Source organism: Homo sapiens, chromosome 8 (assembly GCF_000001405.40).
Source record: "Homo sapiens chromosome 8, GRCh38.p14 Primary Assembly".
In the NCBI taxonomy this organism is placed as follows: domain Eukaryota; kingdom Metazoa; phylum Chordata; class Mammalia; order Primates; family Hominidae; genus Homo; species Homo sapiens.
Window position 1 is genome coordinate 27,879,152 of NC_000008.11, and position 22,474 is coordinate 27,901,625.

The 22,474-nt window shown below is 49.0% G+C and overlaps 1 protein-coding gene and 1 non-coding gene across 4 annotated transcripts in view, besides 2 other annotated features; both read right to left on the reverse strand.

Moving 5' to 3' along the window:
• SCARA5 (scavenger receptor class A member 5) overlaps nucleotides 1–22,474 on the reverse strand; it is a 122,791-nt gene that overhangs the window by 9,269 nt on the left and 91,048 nt on the right. For all 3 annotated transcript variants that reach the window (NM_001413201.1, NM_173833.6, NM_001413203.1), the window contains one exon: nucleotides 418–615. In NM_001413201.1, the coding sequence (NP_001400130.1) occupies nucleotides 418–615 (198 nt within the window). The remainder of the gene's footprint in view (nucleotides 1–417; nucleotides 616–22,474) is intronic.
• Nucleotides 6,888–6,965, reverse strand: MIR4287 (microRNA 4287). Its single transcript, NR_036249.1, has one exon. It is a non-coding gene; the product is annotated as a microRNA 4287 (primary transcript).
• Nucleotides 13,673–14,259: an enhancer, noted in NCBI's record as "H3K4me1 hESC enhancer chr8:27750341-27750927 (GRCh37/hg19 assembly coordinates)". NCBI's record gives its function as "activates a minimal SCP1, AML or CMV promoter by ChIP-STARR-seq in naive and primed H9 embryonic stem cells {active_cell/tissue: H9 hESC(naive and primed)}" and the evidence as "EXISTENCE:reporter gene assay evidence [ECO:0000049][PMID:30033119]".
• Nucleotides 15,772–16,683: an enhancer, noted in NCBI's record as "VISTA enhancer hs1741". NCBI's record gives its function as "enhancer in: hindbrain (rhombencephalon)[4/6] | limb[6/6] | eye[5/6] | nose[5/6] | facial mesenchyme[5/6]" and the evidence as "EXISTENCE:transgenic organism evidence [ECO:0001131][PMID:17130149]".

Genomic DNA, 22,474 nt, shown 5'->3' on the forward strand with positions numbered 1-22,474 from the left:
AAATATTTGTTACATGTTGAGAACATAGGCTGGCACACTGAGTATCATATAAGTGTTAACAATAAAAACATAATAGAGACATGAGAGCACGTTATAAAGGTCTAAAGAGCTAGCCAGGGAGAGAGAGACCACAGCAGCTGTGCCTGGGACACAGGACTGGGAAGGGCTGGTATGGGACACCACCAGGACAGGACTTAGATCCACGAAAGGAAGAATGTTCTAATCATCAGAACTGTCTGATGACCACCGGAGATGGTTGCCTGGGGCGGGGCAGTGAGTTCTTATTGCAGCAAGCATTTGGGGAGAGGCTGGGGACCTCGCGGAATTGCAGTGGAAGGGACTCGGGCTTTGGAGGTGAGCCCAGTCCTAGGATGTGCAGGCCCTCTCCTCATGTTTTTTGCCCTCAGAGCGCCTTACCTTGCCCGAATCGAGCTGTGCGGTACACCTCCTCCACACCGCGGAAGCCGAGCATGCGGCACACCACGTCTCCGTCCTTCTTGTCCCAGCCGTCGTCACACACGGTGCCCCAACGCCGGTCGTGGTACACTTCCACGCGGCCCTCGTGCGGACCTGAGCCATTCACCAGGCGGATCATCATCGGGGCCTCCACGCCACCTGCCGGAGCAGCCAACTGTCACTACCCAGCTCTAGATACACCAGGACCCGCCCCCAGGGGCCTTCTTTGACTCCGCCTACCCCTGGGTAGGAGGAAGAGAGGGCTGGGGCCCAGCTGTATCAAGACTTCAGCCCCCAAATCACCCTGTGCCTCTTCTGCCCTTTGCCAGCCTTCTCCCCACCTTAAAAAAATAGCCTTTTTCACAGCGCGGTGCTGGTACAAAAACAGACACAGAGACCAATGGAACAAAATAGAGAGCCCAGAAACAAAGCTACACACCTACAGCCATCTGATCTTCGACCAAGTCAAAAGAATAAGCAGTGGGGAAAGGACTCCCTATTCAATAAATGGCGCTGGGATAGTTGGCTAGCCGTATGCAGAAGAATGAAACTGGAGGACCCCTACCTTTCACCTTATACAAAATTATAGAACTCAAGATGGATTAAAGATTTAAATTTAAGACCTCAAACTGTAAGAATCCTGGAAGAAAACCTGGGAAACATTATTCTGGACATTGGCCTTGAAAAAGAATTTATGACTAAGTGCTCAAAAGCAATTGCAACAAAAACCAAAATTGACAAGTGGACGAGTGGGAACTAATTAAACTAAAGAGCTTCTGTACAGGAAAAAAAAAAAAAAACCTATCAACAAAGTGAACAGACAACCTACAGAATGGGAGAAAATACTAATATTTGCAAACTATGCATTCACCAAAGGTCTAATATCTGGAATCTATAAGGAACATAATTCAACAAACAAAAAACAAATAACCCCATCAGAAAGTGGGCAAAAGAGCGGCTGGGCTTGGTGGCTTATGCTTATAATCCCAGCACTTTGGGAGACCAAGGCAGGAAGATCACTTGAGGCTAGGGCTTCAAGACCAGCCTCAGCCTGGGCAGCATGGGGAAACCCTGTCTCTACAAAATAATAATAATAAATGAGCCAGGCATAGTAGCCCATGCCTGTGGTGCTAGCTACTCGGGAGGCTGAGGTGGGAGGATCACTTAAGCCTGGGAGGTTAAGGCTGCAGTGAGCCACGTTTGTGCCACTGCACTCCAGCATGCATGACAAAGCAAGACCCTGTCTAAGGAAAAAAAAAAAAAAAAAAAGTGGGCAGGAGACATGAACAGATATTTCTCAAAAGAAGATATACAAACAGCCAGCAAACATGAAAAAATGCTCATCGTTACTAATCATCAGAGAAATGCAAATCAAAACCACGATGAGATACTATCTCACGCCAGTCAGAATGGCTATTATTAAAAAGTCAAAAAACAACAGATGCTGATAAGCCCGTGGAGAAAAGGGAATGCTTATACTGTTGGTGGGAATGTAAATTAGTTCAGCCACTGTGGAAAGCAGTTTGGAGATTTCTCAAAGAACTTAAAACAGAACTATCATTTGACACAGCAATCCCATTGCTGGGTGTACATCTGAAGGAAAATAAATCATTCTACCAAAAAGACACATACACTCATATGTTCATTGCAGAACTATTCACAATAGCAAAGACATGGAAATCAACCTACGTGCCTATCAGCAGCGGATTGAATAAAGAAAATGTGGTACATATACATATACACCATGGAATACTATGCAGCCATAAAAAAGAACAAAGTCATGTCCTATGCAGCAACATGGATGCAGCTGGAGGCCATTATCCTAAGTGAATTAATGCAGGAACAGAACACCAATACCTCATATTCTCACTTTTAAGTGGGAGCTAAACACAGGGGTGGGGGTGGGAATACAAGATGGGGGAGGGGAGAAGAGGGGTAAGGGTTGAAAACCTAACTACTGGGCACTACGCTTACTACCTGGATGACAGGATCATCTATACTCCAAGCTTCAGCATCACGCAATATACCCAGGTAATAAACCTGCACATGTACCCCCTGAATCTAAAATAAAAGTTGAAATAATAAACAATAAAATAAAATAGCCTTTTTTAAAGAGCAGTTTTAGGTTCGCAGAAAAATTGATTGAAAGGTACAGAAAATTCCCATATACAACACCCCTCCCTCTACACACAGCCTCCCCCATTATCAACATCCCCTGAGAGTGGTGCATTTGTTACACTCAATGAACCTACACTGATGCCTCGTCATCACCCAGAGTCCACAATTTACATTTGGGTTCACTTTTGGTGCTGCACATGCGATGGGTTTGGACAAATGTATAATAATGTGTATTCGCCATTACGATATCATACAGAATCTTTTCACTGCCCTAAAAATCTTCTGTGCTCCACTTATTCAGTGAGACTATTCATCTCTCCCTCCTCCCTACCCCTGGCAACCACTGATCTTTTCACTTTCTCCGTAGTTTTGCCTTTTCCAGGATGTCATAGTTGGAATCATACAGTATGCAGCCTTTTCAGATTGGCATCTTTCACTTAGTAATAAGTAAGTGAACCTTCATGTAAGGTTGCTTCATGTCTTTTCATGGCTTCATAGCTCCTTTCTTTTTAGGACTGAATGGTATTCCATTTTCTATGTGCACCATAGTTTATTCATCCATTCACCTACTGAAAAACATCTTGGTTGCTTCAAAGTTTTTGCCTGGATGAATAAAGCTGCTATAAATATCCATGTGCAGGTTTTCATGTGGATGTCAGTTTCAGCTCATTTGGGTAAATATCAAGGAGTGTGATTACCAGATTTCTCTCCACTGTTTGAGACCCGGTGACCAGCAGCCTTGCCTGCTAGGGAGGAGGGTGTAGGAGAAATAGGAAGCCAAGGATGGTTAAGACTTTGTGGGCAGGTAGCATGGCTGTGTCCCGGGAAGTGTCTCAGCCCTGATTTGGTCATTCATGTTCACTTTCCCACTAGGCTGTGAGTGTGAAAGTGCTTTAAGCCAGAGAGAGCCAGTTGGGAATTCTGGTTCTGCCACTTACTATCTGCAACTGTGAGACACATTGGTTCATCAAATCTGAGATGCCACCTGTTGTAATGGGCGCCTGTTTTATATGCCACTAAGAAGGAAAAATCTCTGCTGGGTAGGTGGCAAATTATATCAAGTGCCAGGTGCTTCCTGATTTCACAGACATATAAATGTGTGTCACAGAATCAATGAAACATGGTAATAGATGTGAAGAACTCAGAATAGCACCTGGCACATAATAGGCCCTTTCGACCTGAATGACCTTAAGGTAGCCTCACAACCTCTCTAAAGGCATTTCCCCAACTGCGACATGGGAACAACATCTACACTGCAGGACTGTCATGCAAACAAAATGCAACAAAGCTAAAAGGGCTCTGGGGCACAATCCTGGCCCATGGAAACATCAGCAATGTGGGTCTGTTCCCCCTTCTCTGAGGGCTGAGCCCCTGTCACATTGATCTCTAAACTCAGTGCTTGGCACACAGCCTGGCTGGAGGAAATGAAAAATCAATGTTTGCAGAATGTAGTAGAGAGCCATTCCTGAGCATTACAATGCATTGGTTCTCCAAGGGGAAATGTTGGGGACCCAAAGAACACCAGAGCAACTGAAAGAAGCCTTTGGATCATCACAAAGCCAGGGTTTGGCTGGGAAGTCATAGTCTCAGGGTGAAACACATGGTCAGTGCCAGAGCTGGGATCACAGCTTGCGTTTCCTTATGTGTCTTCCCACATCCTTTTCACCATCCTGCCCGCCCCACTACTCTTGGGGGCTATTTCCCCTGCTGGGACCTGAGCATCCTCACTTGATAAGATACTGGAGTGGTCAGTGGGTCTTATCAAAATCATTAGGAACACCAGATTCCACGGCCAATCCAGACCTACTGAAAGAGAATCTTGGTGGCAAGAGTGAGGGATCTCTATTTTTCCAAGTGTCCCAAATAATTCAGAACAATTGGTTTGTGGGCTGTGGACTGGCATTTAGATTAGAGGGTCAATCAGCAAGGTTCCTTCTAGCTCCAACCCTCAGTAATCCAAGGCCAGAGAAGAAATCAGGGTCATCTCTTTTTAAAGCCAGAATCCACTGGTGTCATGTGGGGTAGGGGTGGACATTGTACTGGAACCCAGTGACAAGTGGGTGACACAATGCAGGAAAATGCCCATGTGAACTGCCAGAGAAAATAACAAACCTACTCAAGCCCTGCTACTAATAAGCGCGGCACTCCTGGACTTTTGTTTTTCCTTTATCTTGTATTTGGCCAAGTGGGCTGGAAGGAGCCTCCTTTTAATGACTGTGACTTGGCAAAGACTTTCATAGGTCCCGAAGGAGATGGCAGAATTGACATCTGTGCCCCATGAGAAAGGAGAGAACTCAGAACTGGCCACATGCCTGGGCCAAGAAAACCCCAGAAAATTCTGCAGAGGAACCGAGGAAGCCACCAGGAAGCGACCCCAACCCCAGGAATGATGCTAAAGACTACAGCGAGAGCACCAGGGATGCCTCCTCTCGATATTGGATGTATTTGCTGCGGATCCTTCATCCCTGGCCAGGTGACCGTTCTCCCCACACAGACTGCAAATACAAACTCATTCAGGCTGTCCCCAAACAGGCTGAGGCTATGCAAGACAACAGAGAGATCCTGGAGAAGAAAAACATGGAGAAGAGCTGGAATTCAGAGGCTGGGTCTGACACCAAGAAACTCCCCGGGAGCAGTAAGGACAGGCTAACCTGCAGCCAGCAGCACCAAGAGGGACCCGGCCGCTGCGCGGGGCCTTGGCCCTGGGTTGGCTGAGGCCAGGCTGTCAGCCCTGGTTTCTCACAGACCTGCCTCACCTCTGGCTGCACCAGGAGGCCTGCAACAGAAGCCACAGTGTGGGGTCAGCAAGTAGGGCAAGAAGTGGCAGGAGGGTGCTGTGAGTCACAGAGCAGGCCAGGCAGAAGTCAGGTGTGGGGTCAAAACAACAGGAAGAGTGTGACTGGGTGTGACTAGGCAGCCAAGGTAGACGGTCGGAGACTCCCTGACTTAGCCTCTCTGTTCTGGCCAGCCTGAACTCACTTTGTGCACCTACTCGTTTAGCCAAGTAAGTGACTGAGAGTCTATCAGACAGCTGTGGATACACCCACAAACAGAGTCCCTGCCCTCATGGAGCTGACATTCTAGGGAGAGTCTAGCAATACAGCTAGTCAACAAAAACAAAACCATAATTATAGCCAAGCGGTGATAAGAGCATAGATGGGAACAGAAGCACAGGGAGTACAGAGTGAGGCAGGCACTATTGTGGGCAAGTGAACAAAGGAGTGGAGAGTGAGGGCAGGCGCCATCTTGGACAAGTGGAGGAGGGAGGAAATGAGAGACAGGGCAGGCACCATCTTGGCCGGGTGGACAAGGAAGGAAATGAGAGAGAGGGCAGACACCATCTTGGCCGAGTGGACAAGGAAGGAAATGAGAGAGAGGGCAGGCACCATCTTGGACAGGTGGACAAGGGAGGGAATGAGAGGGCAGGTACTGTCTTGGACAAGTGAACAAGGAAGAGGGTGGGGAGTGAGAGCAGGTGCCATTTTGGACGAGTAGAGAAGGAAGGCCTTGAGTGGAGACCTGAATGAGCTGAGGAAGGACGTGGACTCCCCCACCTCAGAAAACTCCTTTCTGTACTCTGGCCTAAGCTTTCCTTGTCTTTTAGATCTCAGCTTAGATGCCTCTTCTCCTTCCCTGGTCCCCACACCCAACAGGGCCCCTTCTAGGTACATGCTTATAGCTTTGTGTCATAATTGCTATTGCTATTTACTCTCTTAGGACACTGTGAGCCTTCTGAGGATCACGTGACCTGGTACAGGGCCCGGTGCACTGAGATACCCAGCCTGTGCAAAGGGAAGGCATGCATGAATGGAGGGACTCATTAATATGGACCCAGATGGGCAGGTGCTGGCTGGAGGGCATGGCTCCCCAGAGTCCAGGGCTTTGGTGGCAACCTGAATGGAGAATCCAACATCAGGGCCCCAAATCTCCAGCATCCTCTTTATTACATCACAACACTTCTAATCACATACTTGCTGCCTTCTCTACTTGAGATGACTCTGGATTCTGGACCCAGAGCTCAGGCTGTTACAATGACCGTACATCTCAAGTGAGAGAATGGGGACATGGCTGTCAGATGATCATGGTGGGTGCAATGGGAAGTCTGGAAAATGTCATTTGGATGCTGAAATACTGAAATTCCCAAGAGGTTTCAATGTATATAGAAGTGATAGAAGAATATTTGGAAACAAGACACCTTCAAAAAATTGAAAACATATGATAACCATAATCACGGGATGCAAAGCATCAATTTCAAGGATGTCTCTGGCCCATGGCCCATGCTTACCATGCATTGAGCAAAGTCATGGCCTGCAGGGCTCCTATGGTCTCCCCAGTAGGGACCACATTGATCTCAGGAACTGAAAAGTGCCCTCAAGGGAGAAAAAGAACTAGAGAGCACCTGGGCGAGGCTGCACAAGGCACCACTCCACCCAGACCCCAGTGTCGGTTCATTAAGCATGGAGGCCTGTTCCTCACCACCTGTCCCCAGATCCCCTAGACTCAGGGCTTCCCCCCATGGTGGAGGGCCGCCTGCCCACAGGGTCAACAGATGCTGCCTGCCCCAGCAGGGTCAACACAAATCTGAAAGCCACACCTTCTCCCCTGGACTCACCCAAATCAGAGGCCACATTTTGTTGTAGCTCCACTTCACAGAGCATGGCCCTAAGCTGTGGATTTTGCATCCTTTTCTCCCCACCCAACAAAATCTCAGCTCTGTTACCACCTCTCTGGGAAACCACAGGCTGAGGTCTGACTTGCTTATGATGTAGGCTGCCCTGATTCAGGAACTCAGAGTCTAAATTCAGAAACTTGTGTCTCTGGCCTCCTTTACCCCTGAAGAGGTATAGGGGAGGCAGGCAGGCAGGAGCCTTTCCCAGAGCTGAGCAATGAGGCCACCTCCAGCAACACACTTGGGGAATCACCAACGCCCTCCAACAGTGACTACCCTCTAGCCTGAGAAGGACGTCATCATTTAAGAGGTTTGGGTTTCTGTGGGCAGAGGGTTTAAATGCTGCTTTTTCCCGGCAGTTTCTGCCCCAGGTCAAAGCTTTCCCACCAAGCCACCAACCACCACTGGGAAATGCTCTTGCCCCACAATGTGTCAGCCCCGACTTAATCAGAAGTGGTGACTGAGAGGCAGCCTCAGCCTGGTCCGTGACTTCCCCAAGACTCTTCCTGTCAGTCCAGGGAGTTTTTTCCTCAGATGCCCCCCAGGAGGGTCCCTGCAGGGGGAACGGGGCTACTGGAGTCAGGGAGATGCCTCTCTCTGCACGTGGCAGTGGAGGAAAATGGGAGACAGGGATTCTTGATTGTGTGAAATTCAGAGACTCCTAGGCTCCAAAGCAAGAGCAGATGCTCCAGGTAGAGGGCAAAGGGCAAGAGAGCTGGTGATGAGCAATGGGACCCCAGGCTTTCGAGGTTGCAGCCACGTCCCCTAGTAACTGCCCTTCAATGACTGCGAGGCACCTTCACCTCCTCCTTGGCATCATACCACATTGAGCCCTGGAAAACCCTTCCTGAGCAAATGAGGATCAGCAACCCGGAAGAAAACCCTGCCCCATACCACTCCCGTGTGGGTATCTGATTTGCACCCCTCAGGTGAGGGCGTTAGGTGCAGAGACTATCACACTTTTCCTCTTGTTCTGGATCCCTAACCTGCAGACTGGGGTCTACCTGTCCATGCCTTCATGGTTTGCAAGTTAAGAGGATGGTACTGGCTACAAGGCTGGTCCCTACCAGCTCTGTGCAGGAATGGCACCGGCACATAGCATCACTTGGCTGGAAAACCCAAGCTGAAGGGAAACACCAAGAGCTATTCCTTACTAAAAACAAGGAGAGGCTGTTCTTGACAGCTTATTCCAATCCCCATCCCACAAGGCTTTGGCAGAGCTTTTTCTTGTAATGCCCACCCCTGCCCCCCATAGCAGAGACACCCAGATATCCACAGGGCTCATCTCTGTTCATCTTTTCCCTGCTTCCCCAGAACTGGGGACCACAAGCCCGAGATGGAGCAGGGACTTAGGGGCTGCTAGGCCCCCAAACATGGAAATAAAAGAAAATCTTGAGTATCTTCAAGGGAAATTCTAGGCTAGCCCCAAGAAGTAAATGAGCAACTTGGTAAGAAAGAAAGAAATAGTAGCTTAAAGCAATAGTCAAAGAAGTTAGAGTCAACCTCTGATGACTCTCTATAGAAACTAAAGAGAACATCTTAACATATGTCCCTGAGGTGTTTTTCAGAAACCCAGCTGGATGTTTTTCAGAAACCCAGAACCAAATGGATTTGCTGGCATATAGACCTCAAATGAGGGGAAACTGAGGCCTGAACTCTGATTGACGGACTTTTTTTTTTGAGACAAGGTCTGGCTCTGTCACCCAGGCTGGAGTGCAGTGGCATGATCTCGGCTCACTACAACCTCTGTCCCCCAGGCTCAAGCCATTCTCTCCCGCCTCAGCCTCCCAAGTAGCTGGGACTACAGGGTGCATGCTGCCATGCCCAGCTAATGATTGTGTTTATTCTTTATTCTCCAGTGCCACAGAATAAAGGAAAATTCCAGGCACCTAGCTAGCTCTGAGGACCTGGAAGAAGTCACATCCACAGGCCAGACCTTAATATTCCTTTCTGCTGAACCCAAGTTTTTAGACAAAGTTTCCCTTCCTTAACCAATTGCAAATCAGAAAGTCTTTGAAGCCATGTATGACCTGTAAGCCCTTGCTTCCAGATTTCCCACCTTTTTAGGCCAAACCAATGTATAACATCCATGTCTTGATTTAGAAATTTGCCTGTAACTTCTGCTCTCCTGAAATTTACCATTGCCTTTAAACAGCCTTGCTTGTAAGCCATCCAGGAGGTTGAGTCTTAAGTGTGAGCTACCAGATTTTCTTTGCTTGGTGCCTTGCAAATAAACACCATGCTTCCTCCCACTGCACAACTTCAGTATGGATGTTTGGCTTTACCATGCCAGGCAAGAAGATCCCACTTCGGTTTGGTTACAAGCCCCATCAACACCCTGTGACCAAGGTTCTTCCCTTTGATACAGAGAAGCAGAAAGAGAAAAGTGCTGTCACCTCAAAGCCCAGACCAGAGCATCCCTGCCTGGTTTCACTGTGTAACCCTAGGAGAGGAAAGTGGTTTGAGGGAACACAGGGCAGGAGACTGGCTCCTGGCTGGGTAGCCTCCTTGCTGTCTCCCAGATCAAGGGGCTCATTGTTTCACCCCACAACTTTTCTGGAGTGTCAATTCCAGCCTCGGCTTGGAGCTCTCTGCCTCACTGCAGCCCCAGACCACAGCACCTGCCTCCCCATTCCTCAACCTGTTGTACTGAGCCTGCCCTTCACCCAGGCCCCACCGGGACCAACCCCATGGTCCTCAGCCACCCTCCTTCTACAGGCCCCAAATCTCTCAAAGCTTGAGCTTGTTCCCCAGTAAAGAGGGTACAGCTGAGGCACAGATGAGGCCAGGTCATGGAGAAGATCAAGGCATGGGTCTGGACAAGGAATCTTAGCATTTTCTCAGGATATCACTAGGAACAACTTCCATTAGCTTAGTTGTCGGCAACAGATGTCCCATTACTTAGTGCTTGGAGTGATTTTTCGGTAATTATGACATCATCTTTGGGCTTTTCCAATAATCACAAATGATGGTGAAGCATAGCATTTGCCAGCTGGTAGAGACTTGAAGATGACACAGTCCACACTCTTTGCATGACACGTGTGGGAGCAGAGGCCCAGAGAGGTGACGTGCCTTACCCAAGTCATCCCGTAGCTAGCAGAAGAGCTGGGGCCTGAACTTGAGACTTAGCCCTCGGGCCAGTTCTCCATCTACACCCTCCTTTCTTTCCCAGAATCCTTTCTTCAGAAGATCCCTGAGCATGGTCCACCAATTTGCATCACGACTTTGATGCAAGATGCCTTTTGATGGAGCAGTTACATGAAAAACAATTACTTTAACCCTGGAACTGCAATGCTTCTAACTAAAATTCATAGAAACAGCTTGGTTTCTCCTGAGTCTTATGGGAGAACCAAGAAGACAGGGTTGCCTTTGTGAAGCACAGCCATTGCTGAGTTTGCATTTGAAAATGAACATGTCAACGATTGCACGCAGGGGAAGGATAAACCAGCCTTGGCTTTTGAGGAAAGTGATAATATTTGTTGAAGTCCGGGGTGATTCTACTTCCCGTGCACAGATATGCAGCACTAAAAATGCATTATCTGTATTAATTCTTTATGTATATTTTATCAATGTCTGTGTTTATTTTTTCAATTGCATATTTATTTATCCATCAATTTGCAGGTATGGAATTACTACCACATTCCAGGATTGTGCTAGGCACTAAGGATGCAAGGATAAATAAGTATTGTCTTTGCCCTGGACTCACTCAAATGAACTAAGAGTTTAAAATAGATAAGAAAGACCACAGAATGTCAAAGCTGGCAGAGAACTCAGGGGCTCCAAAACCCTCAGTTAGAAATGAGGAAACTGAAGTTGACAGAGAAGTCACCAGCCATTACTGGGATGCCAGATCCTTCTCTTTTGAGACCACTTCTCTTTCTGATGCTGGCTACTTTCAGTAACAAACCATAATACAGAGAGAAGACAGTTTGAGGTTAAACCAGCAGGGCCCAGGGTGGGGCAGGCTGGCACTCCTAGAACCAGGTGGCACTGCTCTCCATCTGTGAAGGTTACAAGCACATATACTATTTTCCCTTGGAAATAGAGACCATGTCTTGTTTGTCCATGGCCCCTTAACACTTAACATGACACGTGGCTGGCTGAGGGCCCTAAATGCTGAATAGATGGCGTGGAGGGCAATGGGTAGATGTGTGCGTGACTTTATGAGCAAGCATGATTGGAATCCCCTTCTGAATGCCTCCGGATCCCTGGTTCCAGTCTCAACCTCCAGTGCCTGCATATTCAGAATGGGTGCTGTTCTCACCCACAGATCCCACCTGCTCAGGGTGGGAGGGGTGGGAAAGGTGCTGCCCCAGCACGGAGGCCACAGCTCGCTGTGCACACAGTGACTTGGGGCCTGACCCTGGATTTCATCGATTTGTGCTGCCCTTCTGAAGGTCATTCTATATCCCCGCCTTGCTAATTGATGTCTAAACATGTATCGATCTAGCCTTGGGGACACAGAGGTATTTCACCCTGTCTCTTCTTTGGATGCAAAATGCTGCGAGGCAGTTCCAGGTTGTCCCGGCAGGTGTGGGTCTGAAGCAAGCAGCGTGGTGGGTGAGGGGAGCCCAGGGCAGAGACTGGATGGGCAGGGCCAGTCCAGGCAAGCTACAAGTGCTCTCGCAAGTCTGAGAGGCATTTCAGACTTCCTCATTTCTTCACTGTCCCATGGGCCTCTCAGGGTTGTTGAGGGGATCAGTGACAAAGACTCTGTAGCCAGGTGCTCTCCTGAACCTCAACCTTCCCTCTATAAAGACACAAGACATGTCTGTATAGATGTGAACAGAACTACAATAGGTTTGTTTTTTTTTTGTTTTTTTTTTTAAATGGAGGAGTCTCGCTCTGTCATCCAGGCTGGAGTGCAGTGGCACAATCTCGGCTCACTGCAACCTTCACCTCCAGAGTTCAAGTGATTCTCCTGCCTCAGCCTCCTGAGTAGCTGGGACTATGGGTGTGCACCACCATGCCCGGCTACTTTTTGTATTTTTAGTAGAGACAGGGTCTCACCATGTTGGCCAGGATGGTCTCGATCTCTTGACCTCGTGATCTGCCCGCTTCGGCCTCCCAAAGTGCTGGGATTACAGGCGTGAGACACTGCGCCCAGCCTACTAATATAGTTTCTAATAGCTCAAGATTCCGCTCCTAGGATGATCTGGACCCCCTTAAAGTGCCTGCCTGAGAAAATGCAAGACTACCAAAAGAATTTCCTGTATGTTCCAGCCAACACCTGAAGACAGGGCCCCTGTCCCCCGTGGGATGCAGAAGCCTCACTGTGATAAGCACCAGTTATCAAACCCAGATGGGTTTTACATGAACTAGCTCCTTTCTGCTTTTTGTAATTTTTCACCTCCCTGACTCTACTGAGTCCCCACTCTTCCCTCTCCCTAATCCCTCATTTTCCCTTAAAATACCCGTCACCTCTGTACACATCGAGGTGGCATTCAGTTCATGCTGGACTCCTCCCTGCTGCAATAGTTATCGCTGATTACAATCTGTTCTTATCACTGTAACTAGGGTCCAGCTTTGTCTGTCTTAGACGTCAGATGTGGTTAGAGCGTGGCTCTCAACAGGCTGGTTGGGTGTGTGCCATGCTCACAGCCCATGGGCATTGCCTTCCACGTGGGAAAGACCGTGAATCATTGGCCTGACTCAGAAGTTCTGTCCCAGCCTCTCTGATGAAGATTAGCAGGGCCACCTCTCCCAGCAGTTCACACTGGGGAATACGGAGAGAGCTGAGCAGACACAAAGAGACTGAGAGGCAGGGATGGTGGAATCAATAAGCCATGTTGGAGAAGAGGCCTCCCAGTGAAAAGCTGAGCCAAAGGGCAGTGGCCCCCAGAACGGCCTTGGATTCCGAGTGACCTTCTCATGCCAGGATCCACAAGGCCCACCTGAACTATGGGTCCTGGTTATCCCAAATCTCCTTGCATATCCTCATTACTTGAAATGACCCGGATGAGTCTCTGGTTCTTGGGACTGGAAAAGCCTGAAGAGGGCACCTGTGAATCCCATGCACCCATCTGAGAACTGATCAGCTACTTGCCTCTGTGGGTCCTGGGGAAATTAGGAATTTGCAAGGCATCACACACTGTCATGGTGATTCCTGTGGGGAGATAACTCAGGAGGGTGGAAGGAGGCAGCTGGACTCAGGAGCAGGATTGGAATCTGACTCCACCATAGGCCAGAAGTGACCTCTCCATACCTCACCCTTTTTTTTTTTTTTTTTTTTTGAGACGGAGTCAAGCTCTGTTGCCCAGGCTGGAGTGCAGTGGTGCGATCTTGGCTCACTCAAGCCCCGCCTCCGGGGTTCACGCTATTCTGCCTCAGCCTCCCGAGTAGCTGGGACCACAGGCGCCCGCCACCACGACCGGCTAATTTTTTGTATTTTTTAGTAGAGATGGGGTTTCACCGTGTTAGACAGGATGGTCTCGATCTCCTGACCTCGTGATCCGCCTGCCTGGGCCTCCCAAAGTGCTGGGATTACAGGCGTGAGCCACCGCACCCAGCCTCTCACCTCTTCTTAAAGTGGACATCATGGTGGCGGCTGGGAGCAACAGGGCATGTCAAGGACTTGGCACCTAACGTGAGGTCTCATCATTGTGAGCTCCCACCCCTGGTCAGGTGGCAGTCCTCCCAGCAGCGTGTGGGTCAGCTCCAAGGGTCCCCATGCTTGGGATGGCTTGGACACCAGTGGCCAAGCAGGGATGTATCCTTGAAAGCCTTTTTGCACTCGTAGGAAGCAGGAACAAAAAGGCTCATCCCCTGAATTGAATGAGTCTCCTCCTAACTTCTGTTCTCCCCAGGGCTTGGTTCCTGGCTCCTTAGCATATTAGGACCAGGGCATCCGTGAGGCAGAAGACCGGCTCCTGCTGTCAGCAACTTTCTGTACATTGATGCAAACTGGATGTTATTTGTTAAGCAAGGCAGCTCTGGAATGGCCCAGGAATGCAATGCTAGGGCTGCGACCACGCTTGAGCTCCTAGTGCAGACCTTAGAAATCTACTATGTGGGGATTCTCCTCTCAAAACAAACATTTCTTTGCTCTCTTTGTTTTGTAAATATATATGTCAGACAAGCAAGGTCCCAGGCAAAGCAGGCTGAGTCTTACCCCAGATGCCCCTGAACCCTGGAGCTGGAAGGGGTCTCGGACATTGGCCTTGAACCCCTCCCCTCTACTTCAAACACACAGATCCTCTCCTCTCTGTAGCACACCAGACAGCTGCTCATCCTGCCTCTGGGAATGGAAGGGAACCCGACAGCATCTCTGGGGAATGCATTACAGGATTTTAAAGCCAGGATCTGGTTTCACTTACTCGCCCTGGCATCTCTGGACATCCCAGGGTTTTGCATCTGATTATTCCCTACCTTATTTTACACTGTGTGCTTGGGGATTCATGGCTATCACTGGGGTGTGAGATGAGGAACAGCCTTTTCCTTCTTTCAGCGCAACTGAGCAAGTGGTTTTATTACTCCGCCCCCAGCGGGTTTAGGAGGACTGTGTAGTGGCCAGTGGCTGCCATCTCTCAGAACTGGCTTCCAAGGCTGGGGTAACCTCAGAGCTATCTACTGCCAGCAGGGCTTGGCCACACCTGGCTCAGGGCCATCCCCAAACCCAGCGACAACACAGCCAAGTTCTGGGTACTACCCAGGACAGAGCTCAAGTCAGGCATAAAAAGAGGAGAGAATGATTATCTACTGAGGTCCCGTCGTGCACAGGCTGGGCACTGTGCAAAGTGCTTTGTGCGTGCATTTGCTCATTTCTTCTTCAGAGGAGCTCCATGAGTTAGTTATTACAGCTCATTTAACAGAAGAGAAAACAGGCTCAGAAAAGTCAAGTAAAAATTTGCTCAGGGTCACACAGCTGCCACATGGAAGAGTCAGAGAGAAGGGCAAAGGCTTGTTATTTTCAATCCACAGAGGCGACTCTCAGGCTGAATGCTTAAGACAAATATTTAATAACAGCCCTCTCCAAACATAAAGTGCTTTTCATCCATCTCACAACAGCCCTATGGGGTCTGCCGGATCCACTCTTCTCAGGCTTAAGGGAATGAGTCTTAGACTGAAAGCAGTAGCTCCAGTCTTGACTGTATCTGGGAAGCACCTGGGAAGCTCTGAAACCCACCAGTGTGAGGGGCCAGTTTTAAACAATTCGTAGGTGATTTTGGTGCACAGCCAAGGCTGAGAAGCTCTGTGGGAGAATGTGGATCTGGGATCAAGCCCCGGCTACACAACTCCCTAGTTGTGGGGCCTTGTGAGTAAGGCAGAGAGATGTCACCTCCTCTGGGAAGGCTTCCCTGATTGTGGCCCCAGCATGTGCTCTCCACTAATGAGAAATCCTGCACCATGATTCCCTCTTCCGTGTCTCTCTGCACTCCCCATGGGAAGCTGCGTGAAGGGGGCCACCATTCTGCATCCTTGTGGTTCCAAATCACATCCCTGCAGCAAACAGAGAGCCTGCACGTTCCAGTGCTCAACAGATGGTGTGGAATGAATGAGTGGGGCAATGAATGGATGAATGGGACTCACAGCATTTGAGGGGCTCTGAGAACGGAGCTGGTCACTAAATACCCCAAAACCTGCTTGGCTGTGCACCAGAAGGGACCTAAAGTCCAGGGAACTTTGCCTCTACAGAAAAGCAGAGGGAAAGCCCACCCTAAGCCTGGAAGATTGCAGCTCCTTTATGTTTGTTTTCCCTGCCTTCCAGTCCCCCTGAAAGAGCAAAACAAGAGGAAAGAAAGGAGGTTGTGGAGAATAGAAATAAACACATGGGGCTGGGAATATAGGCTCTGATTTTCTGCAGCTGCAGAGTAGAGCCCTAGGGATAATTCGGACCATCTGCCCATTAAGGAAGTTGAACTTTCATTCTCTTGTAAAGAAAGAACTCCCCGTGCCCCCAGCCGGCCTGAGGCACAGGGGCTCTGCTGAGGCTGAGGTGACACTGCTCGGCAGGAAATGTGATCCATATGGGAAGGACAGGGGCCATCCCAAAAGCAAAAGAACTTTCTGATCAGGCTGTCCTGGAGGGCATCGCTTTCAAAATGTTGTCTGGCCTGTGGGTGTGCTTTGTAAAATGCTATTTCCTAATGCCAATCTGCTCTTAATACGTTCCTTTACAACTCTTCAAAGCACTTTTATTAGCAGTTCTCATGGGGTCTTTGCTGTCCTCCCCTGAGGTAGGTGGTGTTAGCCCCATTTTACAGGTGAGAAAGCTGAGACTCAGAGAAGGGGAGTGAGTGACTCTCTCCAGGTCACATGATAAGGCGGCCACGCCAGGACCACACCTGGGTTTCCAAAGTGCTGTGTCTCCACTTAGGGGTCAGACGGGGTACTTGGGACTTTGCTGGGTAGAAGGAGCAACAGAACTATCTCCCGCATTGTCACTGCCCTGAGGATCGTACTGGACTTTTAAAAACTGTGACTTCCCCTCTTTGTCTCCCCAGCCGTGCTTCATATTCTCTGGAAACTGGAAGTTTGCTCTGATCTTGCTATTCCTGGCTACCCGGTGTTCAATAAAAAGTGTGTCTGATCAAATAATAAACGAAGCGCTTTCCTTGCCCAGTCCTGAACCAGGAGCTCACCCCATCACAGTGGGAGGATGCTGTTAAGGCCCAGAAGCTCTGCTTAGAGCTGGATTTGTAGGAATTTCCTGGGTGGCCTGGGTGGACAAGTGAATCCTGTTCTTTCTTAAGCTCCTGAACCTCTCAGAGGGCAGTGAGAGGTCAGAGTCAACAAGCATTTAAAACCAGAAAGAAATGCTGGAGAGCCAGGAGAAGACAGTGATGCTATGTGCCTGTTTCATCAGGCCTGCAGCCCTCCTTGCTGTACACCCTGTGGGGAGGTGCTGACATCCGTAAGGCACCCTTCTTGAAGGCTCAGGTTCATGTGCCCAGGGCTAGTGGACCTTCCTGGGAGGGTTCTGCCATCCCCTCCTTGCCCTAGTTCCTATCCCAGTTCTCCTCCTCCTCTATGTTCTAGGTCTGAGTCCCCTTTCCGTGATGCTTCTCCACCTCTGCACCATAAATCCTCAAAGGTCAGGACTGTCTTGAGAACCAGGTTTACCCCTCTCTAACTCTAGGACCTTGGGTGAGGAGTGTAAACTCTCAGCATGGTTCCCTCCTCAGTTAGATGGGATGACGACATACCCCAGAGTTATTCTGAAACATGCAGGAGCTCAGTGACCGGGGTGGTTGCCTCTCAATAGTGTTGAACTCAATACAACCCCTGAGGATCATGGTGGGGGACCCAGGCACCATGACAAGTGACTTTTCAAACCTCTGAGTCAGCGAGAAAGACAGCCATATACCCCCTCCTGCCACCATGGCCCCAAGACCTCCCAGGGAGGTTTACTATGGCTTCGTCTGTCTCTTTCTTCCATCTGAATTCAACAAACGGCTCCCTAAAGAAAAGAGGCTGAGGCTGGGCGCAGTGGCTCACGCCGGTAATCCAAACACTTTGGGAGGCTGAGGCGGGTGGATCTTGAGGTCAGGAGTTCGAGACCAGCCTGACCAACATGGTGAAACCCTGCCTCTACTAAAAGTACAAAAATTAGCTGGGTGTGGTGGTGTGCACCTGTAATCCCAGCTACTTAGGAGGCTGAAGCAGGAGAATCGCTTGAACCCAGGAGCAGGAGGTTGCAGTGAGCAGAGATTGTGCCACTGCACTCCAGGCTGGGCGACAGAGTGAGACTCGGTCTCAAAAAAAAAAGAAAAAGAAGAGGCTGAAATCCAGCCCCAGGGGAAGTAAGTCCAACTAGATAGCTGGCCCCAAACACCCTCCAAGGGTGGCTTCCATGTCAAAGGACAGAGGGTACTTAGGGCTGTGAAGTTCATGTAGTGGCAGTGAGAGTTGATCCAGTGACATCAAAGGCTCCCGGGGACCTCCCGGACTCAATCCGCAGAGCCCACAGCTGCATCCACTCCCAGCATAACGGGAGCTCGGGGTCACGGAGATTAAGGACGATTCCCAAGTTTGTTTGAAATGTTTTCTAAATAAACAGTCAAACCACTCTTGGTTTTCATGTACATCTCAACGTAAAAACTTTTCTTTGTTCAAAACCCACATCAAAGATCCCAGCGTCATTTCTTTCACTGGTTTTCATAGATGATTCCGTGTTCACCTTCGTCTGATGTGGGTATTACTAAGACAGTTTTCTTGCAGGGCAAACCCCCAAAGCCACTGCATGTCTGCCAGAGAATTGGGGATGCCAGTCCCTGGTGGGGAGGGAAGGGCGGCACCGCAGGCTCGGCTGCCTGTGTACGCAGAGAAGTGGAGACACAGCAGGCAACACACATAAGAACAGGGATTAGGCAGCAGTCAAACTGGCCACCTCAACTTACGTGTGAAATGCCCCCACTAGATAAGGCGTCACAGCAGCCACGCCTCCCAAGTCCCACACACTCACCTGGCTGCTAACTCTGAACATAAACTCCACAGTGCCTTGTTTATTTTCTTCCAACTAGCAGTTCTTCCCAGGCTTTGGCCCTGGTTCCTGCCTTCAGTTAGCATATATCCAGAATACAAATATTAGTGGCCCTGTTAATGACCTCTTAGGATTCCCAAGAGGGGCTTCATTTCTCCTTGCCTAAGCATTTTTTCCCTGCCAGGGCACGGGCCCAGCTCTGGTCTCTCTCCCTCTGGCCAGGGATGCTGAAAATATCTTTTAAAGAGATGAAAGTAATACAACGAGCTCAGCTGTCCCTGACTCGCAGGCGCCTCTGCACATCCTTATTTTACCACTTGACTTCTTAAAGGGGCCAGGCCTTTAATTTTTCCAGGTCCTCTTGAATGTATGTGAAGCCATCAAACCACTCACAGCATGGATTAATCGGAATTGAACTGTTTTCTGCACACAGCAGTGTAGAAGCTCCCATGGAAGGGGTCACTGGGAGCTTTCAGGAAGAGTCACTGGATTTGTTTTTGGAAGGCTTAAGATGGGATCTTGGCAAACCAGAATGTCTGGAAGGCCAGATCCCATCCTCTGCACAGAACCGGGGAAAAAAGAGGAAATTGTGGCCGGAGAGGCTAAGCGACTAGCTTCAGGGCCACACAGCCAGTGAGGTGAAAACAGGACTTGGATTTAAGATTTGTTACTGTGATACAGATATAATAAGAAGTATTTGGTCTTCATCTCCAGCTCCCAGCCAGAGCTCCTAGAACTCTTGTAACTTCTTAAGCGATAAGAGTGACAGGAGCATCTCTTGTGAGAAACTTTGCTTTTTGTCCCTACTCCTGAAATAGCTCTGGAGCATCTTTTTAAAATTCATAGTAAGCCCCTTCCAACCATACCTGAGTTTGGGTGGGATCGAAGGATGAGGTGCTGATTGTCAGGGAAATCAACCACGTGATTAGGAAGTTGGACCATTCAGCCCCACTTGGAAGTGGAGAGGGGCTGCAAAGATTGAATTCAAGTAACAATGGCCAGTGATTTAATCAGTCATGCTAATGTAATGAAAGCCCCATAAAAACCCAAAAGGACAGGGTTCAGAGAGGTGCAGTGCTGAACACAGAACACATCGAGGTACCTGGCGGGCGGCGTGCCCAGAGAGGGCAGGGAAGCTCTGCACCCCATCCCCATACCTGGCCCTCTGCATCTCTCCCATCCCTCTGTTCCCGAGTTGTGTCCTTTATAATAAACTGATGAACCTAACTTTTCCTGAGTTCTGTGAGTTGGGTTCTAGCAAATAATCAAACCCACGGAGGGGGTCTAAAGGGAATCTCTGACTTTCAGCCAGTTGCTTATATGTTCTGGAAGCTTGGATTTGAGATTTCATCTGAAGTCAGGGGCAGCCTGTGGGACTGAGCCCTTACCCTGTGGGGTCTTCACTAACTCCAGGTTGATTATGTCAGAATGGAATTGAATAGTGGGACACCCAGCTGGGGTTGGGGCATTGGTCAATGTGCAAAACACCTGCACAGTTGGGGTCACCAGTGTGGGAGTGAGCAGGGGAAATGAATCTTCATTTTCATTGCTCCACACCAGCTCTGCTCCTACAGAACTGCATAGAGTTGGGGTCGCATCTTCTCAGGAAATGTTTCTGAAAAACAGGATTTTCTCAAAGTGGAAGTGCAGACAAGAGAAGGAGCAGGAGCAGAAGAGAAACTTGGATTTGGAACGTGGCCTTTCCCGAGAGGAAGGGTCTGTCTACCACGCACGAGGCATTGGTCATGTGCAAAGGGCCACCAGGGACAGCCAAGGCTCCGCCATTACAATCCTATGGATGGCTTCCTAGTGCCCAGAGGCTCAAGCCTAAACTCCTGACCACTGCAATGCCCTTGGTTATCCCCACCTTCCTTTCCAGGCTTATTTTTTGTCTCTTACATCCCAAACCCTTGCCATGCTGTACTATTTGGGAGGATCAGACAACATTATGCTGTTTCAAGCATGGTTCTCTTTACCTGGGACACATTCAACTTCCACATCCACCTGGTGGACATGAACTTACTCTTTAAGACTTGGGTCAGCTGGCACGGTGGCTCATGCCTGTAATCCCAGTACTTTGAGAGGCCGAGGCAGGCAGATCACCTGAGGTCAGGAGTTCAAGACCAGCTTGGCCAACATGGTAAAAACCCATTTCTACTAAAAATACACAAATTAGCTGGGCATGATGGCATGCACCTGTAATCCCAGCTACTCTGGAGGCTGAGGCAGGAGAGTCACTTGAACCCAGGAGGCGGAGGTTGCAGTGAGCCGAGATCGTGCCACTGCACTCCAGCCTGGGTGACAGAGCAAGACTCCATCTAAAAAAAAAAAACCAAAAAAACAAAAAACAAACAAAAAAAGGTGCAGTCGCTGTGTCTCTCCATGCCTGAGATAAGGCTAACTTTTGGTGCTCCATTATCCTAAACAGATTCTCCCGGGCACCTGGTACAGCAAAGTCTAGGCACAGGGATGGGAGAAGGGAGTCCGAGGACTCCAAAGGATTCTGCCTCCTTGACTGTAAAACAGAGACAGAAACATCTCAGCAGCTGCAGGGAAAACTGTTTAGAAACTTCCTCCTCTGATTATTTATTCTGAGTTTACACTGCATGCTGGGGTGCCCACAGCTCCCCTCGTCCCCAGACTTACTTCCCTAAATACTGAAAACATGTACGAAGTGTTAAACATTTTTCAAGTGCTCTAAGCCATGAATGATAACCATCAACAAACTCTGGTTTAGAATTCACCCTGGTGTCATCTGCATATTTTTTTTCCATATGAAACCAAATTGAGAAAGATTTTTTAAACAATCTGAACTTATATCCTGCTTTAAATTCATGCTGTGGGACTTAAAAAAAACCTGAATTCTTCACCCACCCCTTAGTTGCAAAAACACTATTTATTTTTCCTGCAAATGGACCATCTACTAGGGTAAAACAAATGTATTTCTCTCTTGAGATATGTATACGTAGCGGGTTTTTTTTTTTTTTTTTTCCTGGCCAAACTCCCAAAAGCCAAACATGTCACGGAATGACTGATATTGCCCTTGACTGAAAAAAACCTTTATCTCTCAGCAAGCAGAAATCGGGACATCTGGATTCTAGACCCAATTTGGCCGTGACCTAGGCTGGGTGATTTTGGGGATTCCTCTCATCTCTCTGTTGTTGGTCTCTGTTCTGAAAACTGGTGGGGTGGGGTTGGGCGAGAGAGAGGAATGGGTCTGAAACCCATCCAACCCTAAAATCCTATGACTTCAGATCAAAACATGGGTAAACAATGGCAAGATTTTTGTTCTGAAAAATATTTTAATGTGGACTCAGATGGGTCCTGAGAAGCCTTCTGTGGCATGCCCTCCTCCAGGGAAAACCCCCAACTTCCACGTCCCTAGTGAGGGGTGTCGGTCATGTTTTCTCACCAGTCCCTTTTGCACAGTTACATCCCCATCTGCTGGAACTTCAGGTCTTTGCTGCTAACGGCACGGGCTTCAGAGGTGTTTGGGAAGGTTGAAAGGCCTCGGGGTTAGCAGAGGCCACCCTGGTTAGCGGCTCTTCCCGCACGATGTTGGCTTGTGGAGGAGGGTAGCTCTCCGGTGCTGCAAACGCTTTTTTCCCACCCCGTAGATCCTACGGTGGGGCTTCCCAGGGCGCAGGGAATGACTAAGAAACCCTCAGACATGGGCACCATGTCTGTCAGAATTTCCACACTTTTCTGAAAGCTGAGCCTTGGCTCTCCCCCACAGAGCCCGGGTCTCAGGGATATGGTTAATGCTTCTGGGACTGGAATTCCCTGGAAACATAAGCAGGAGGCTGAAT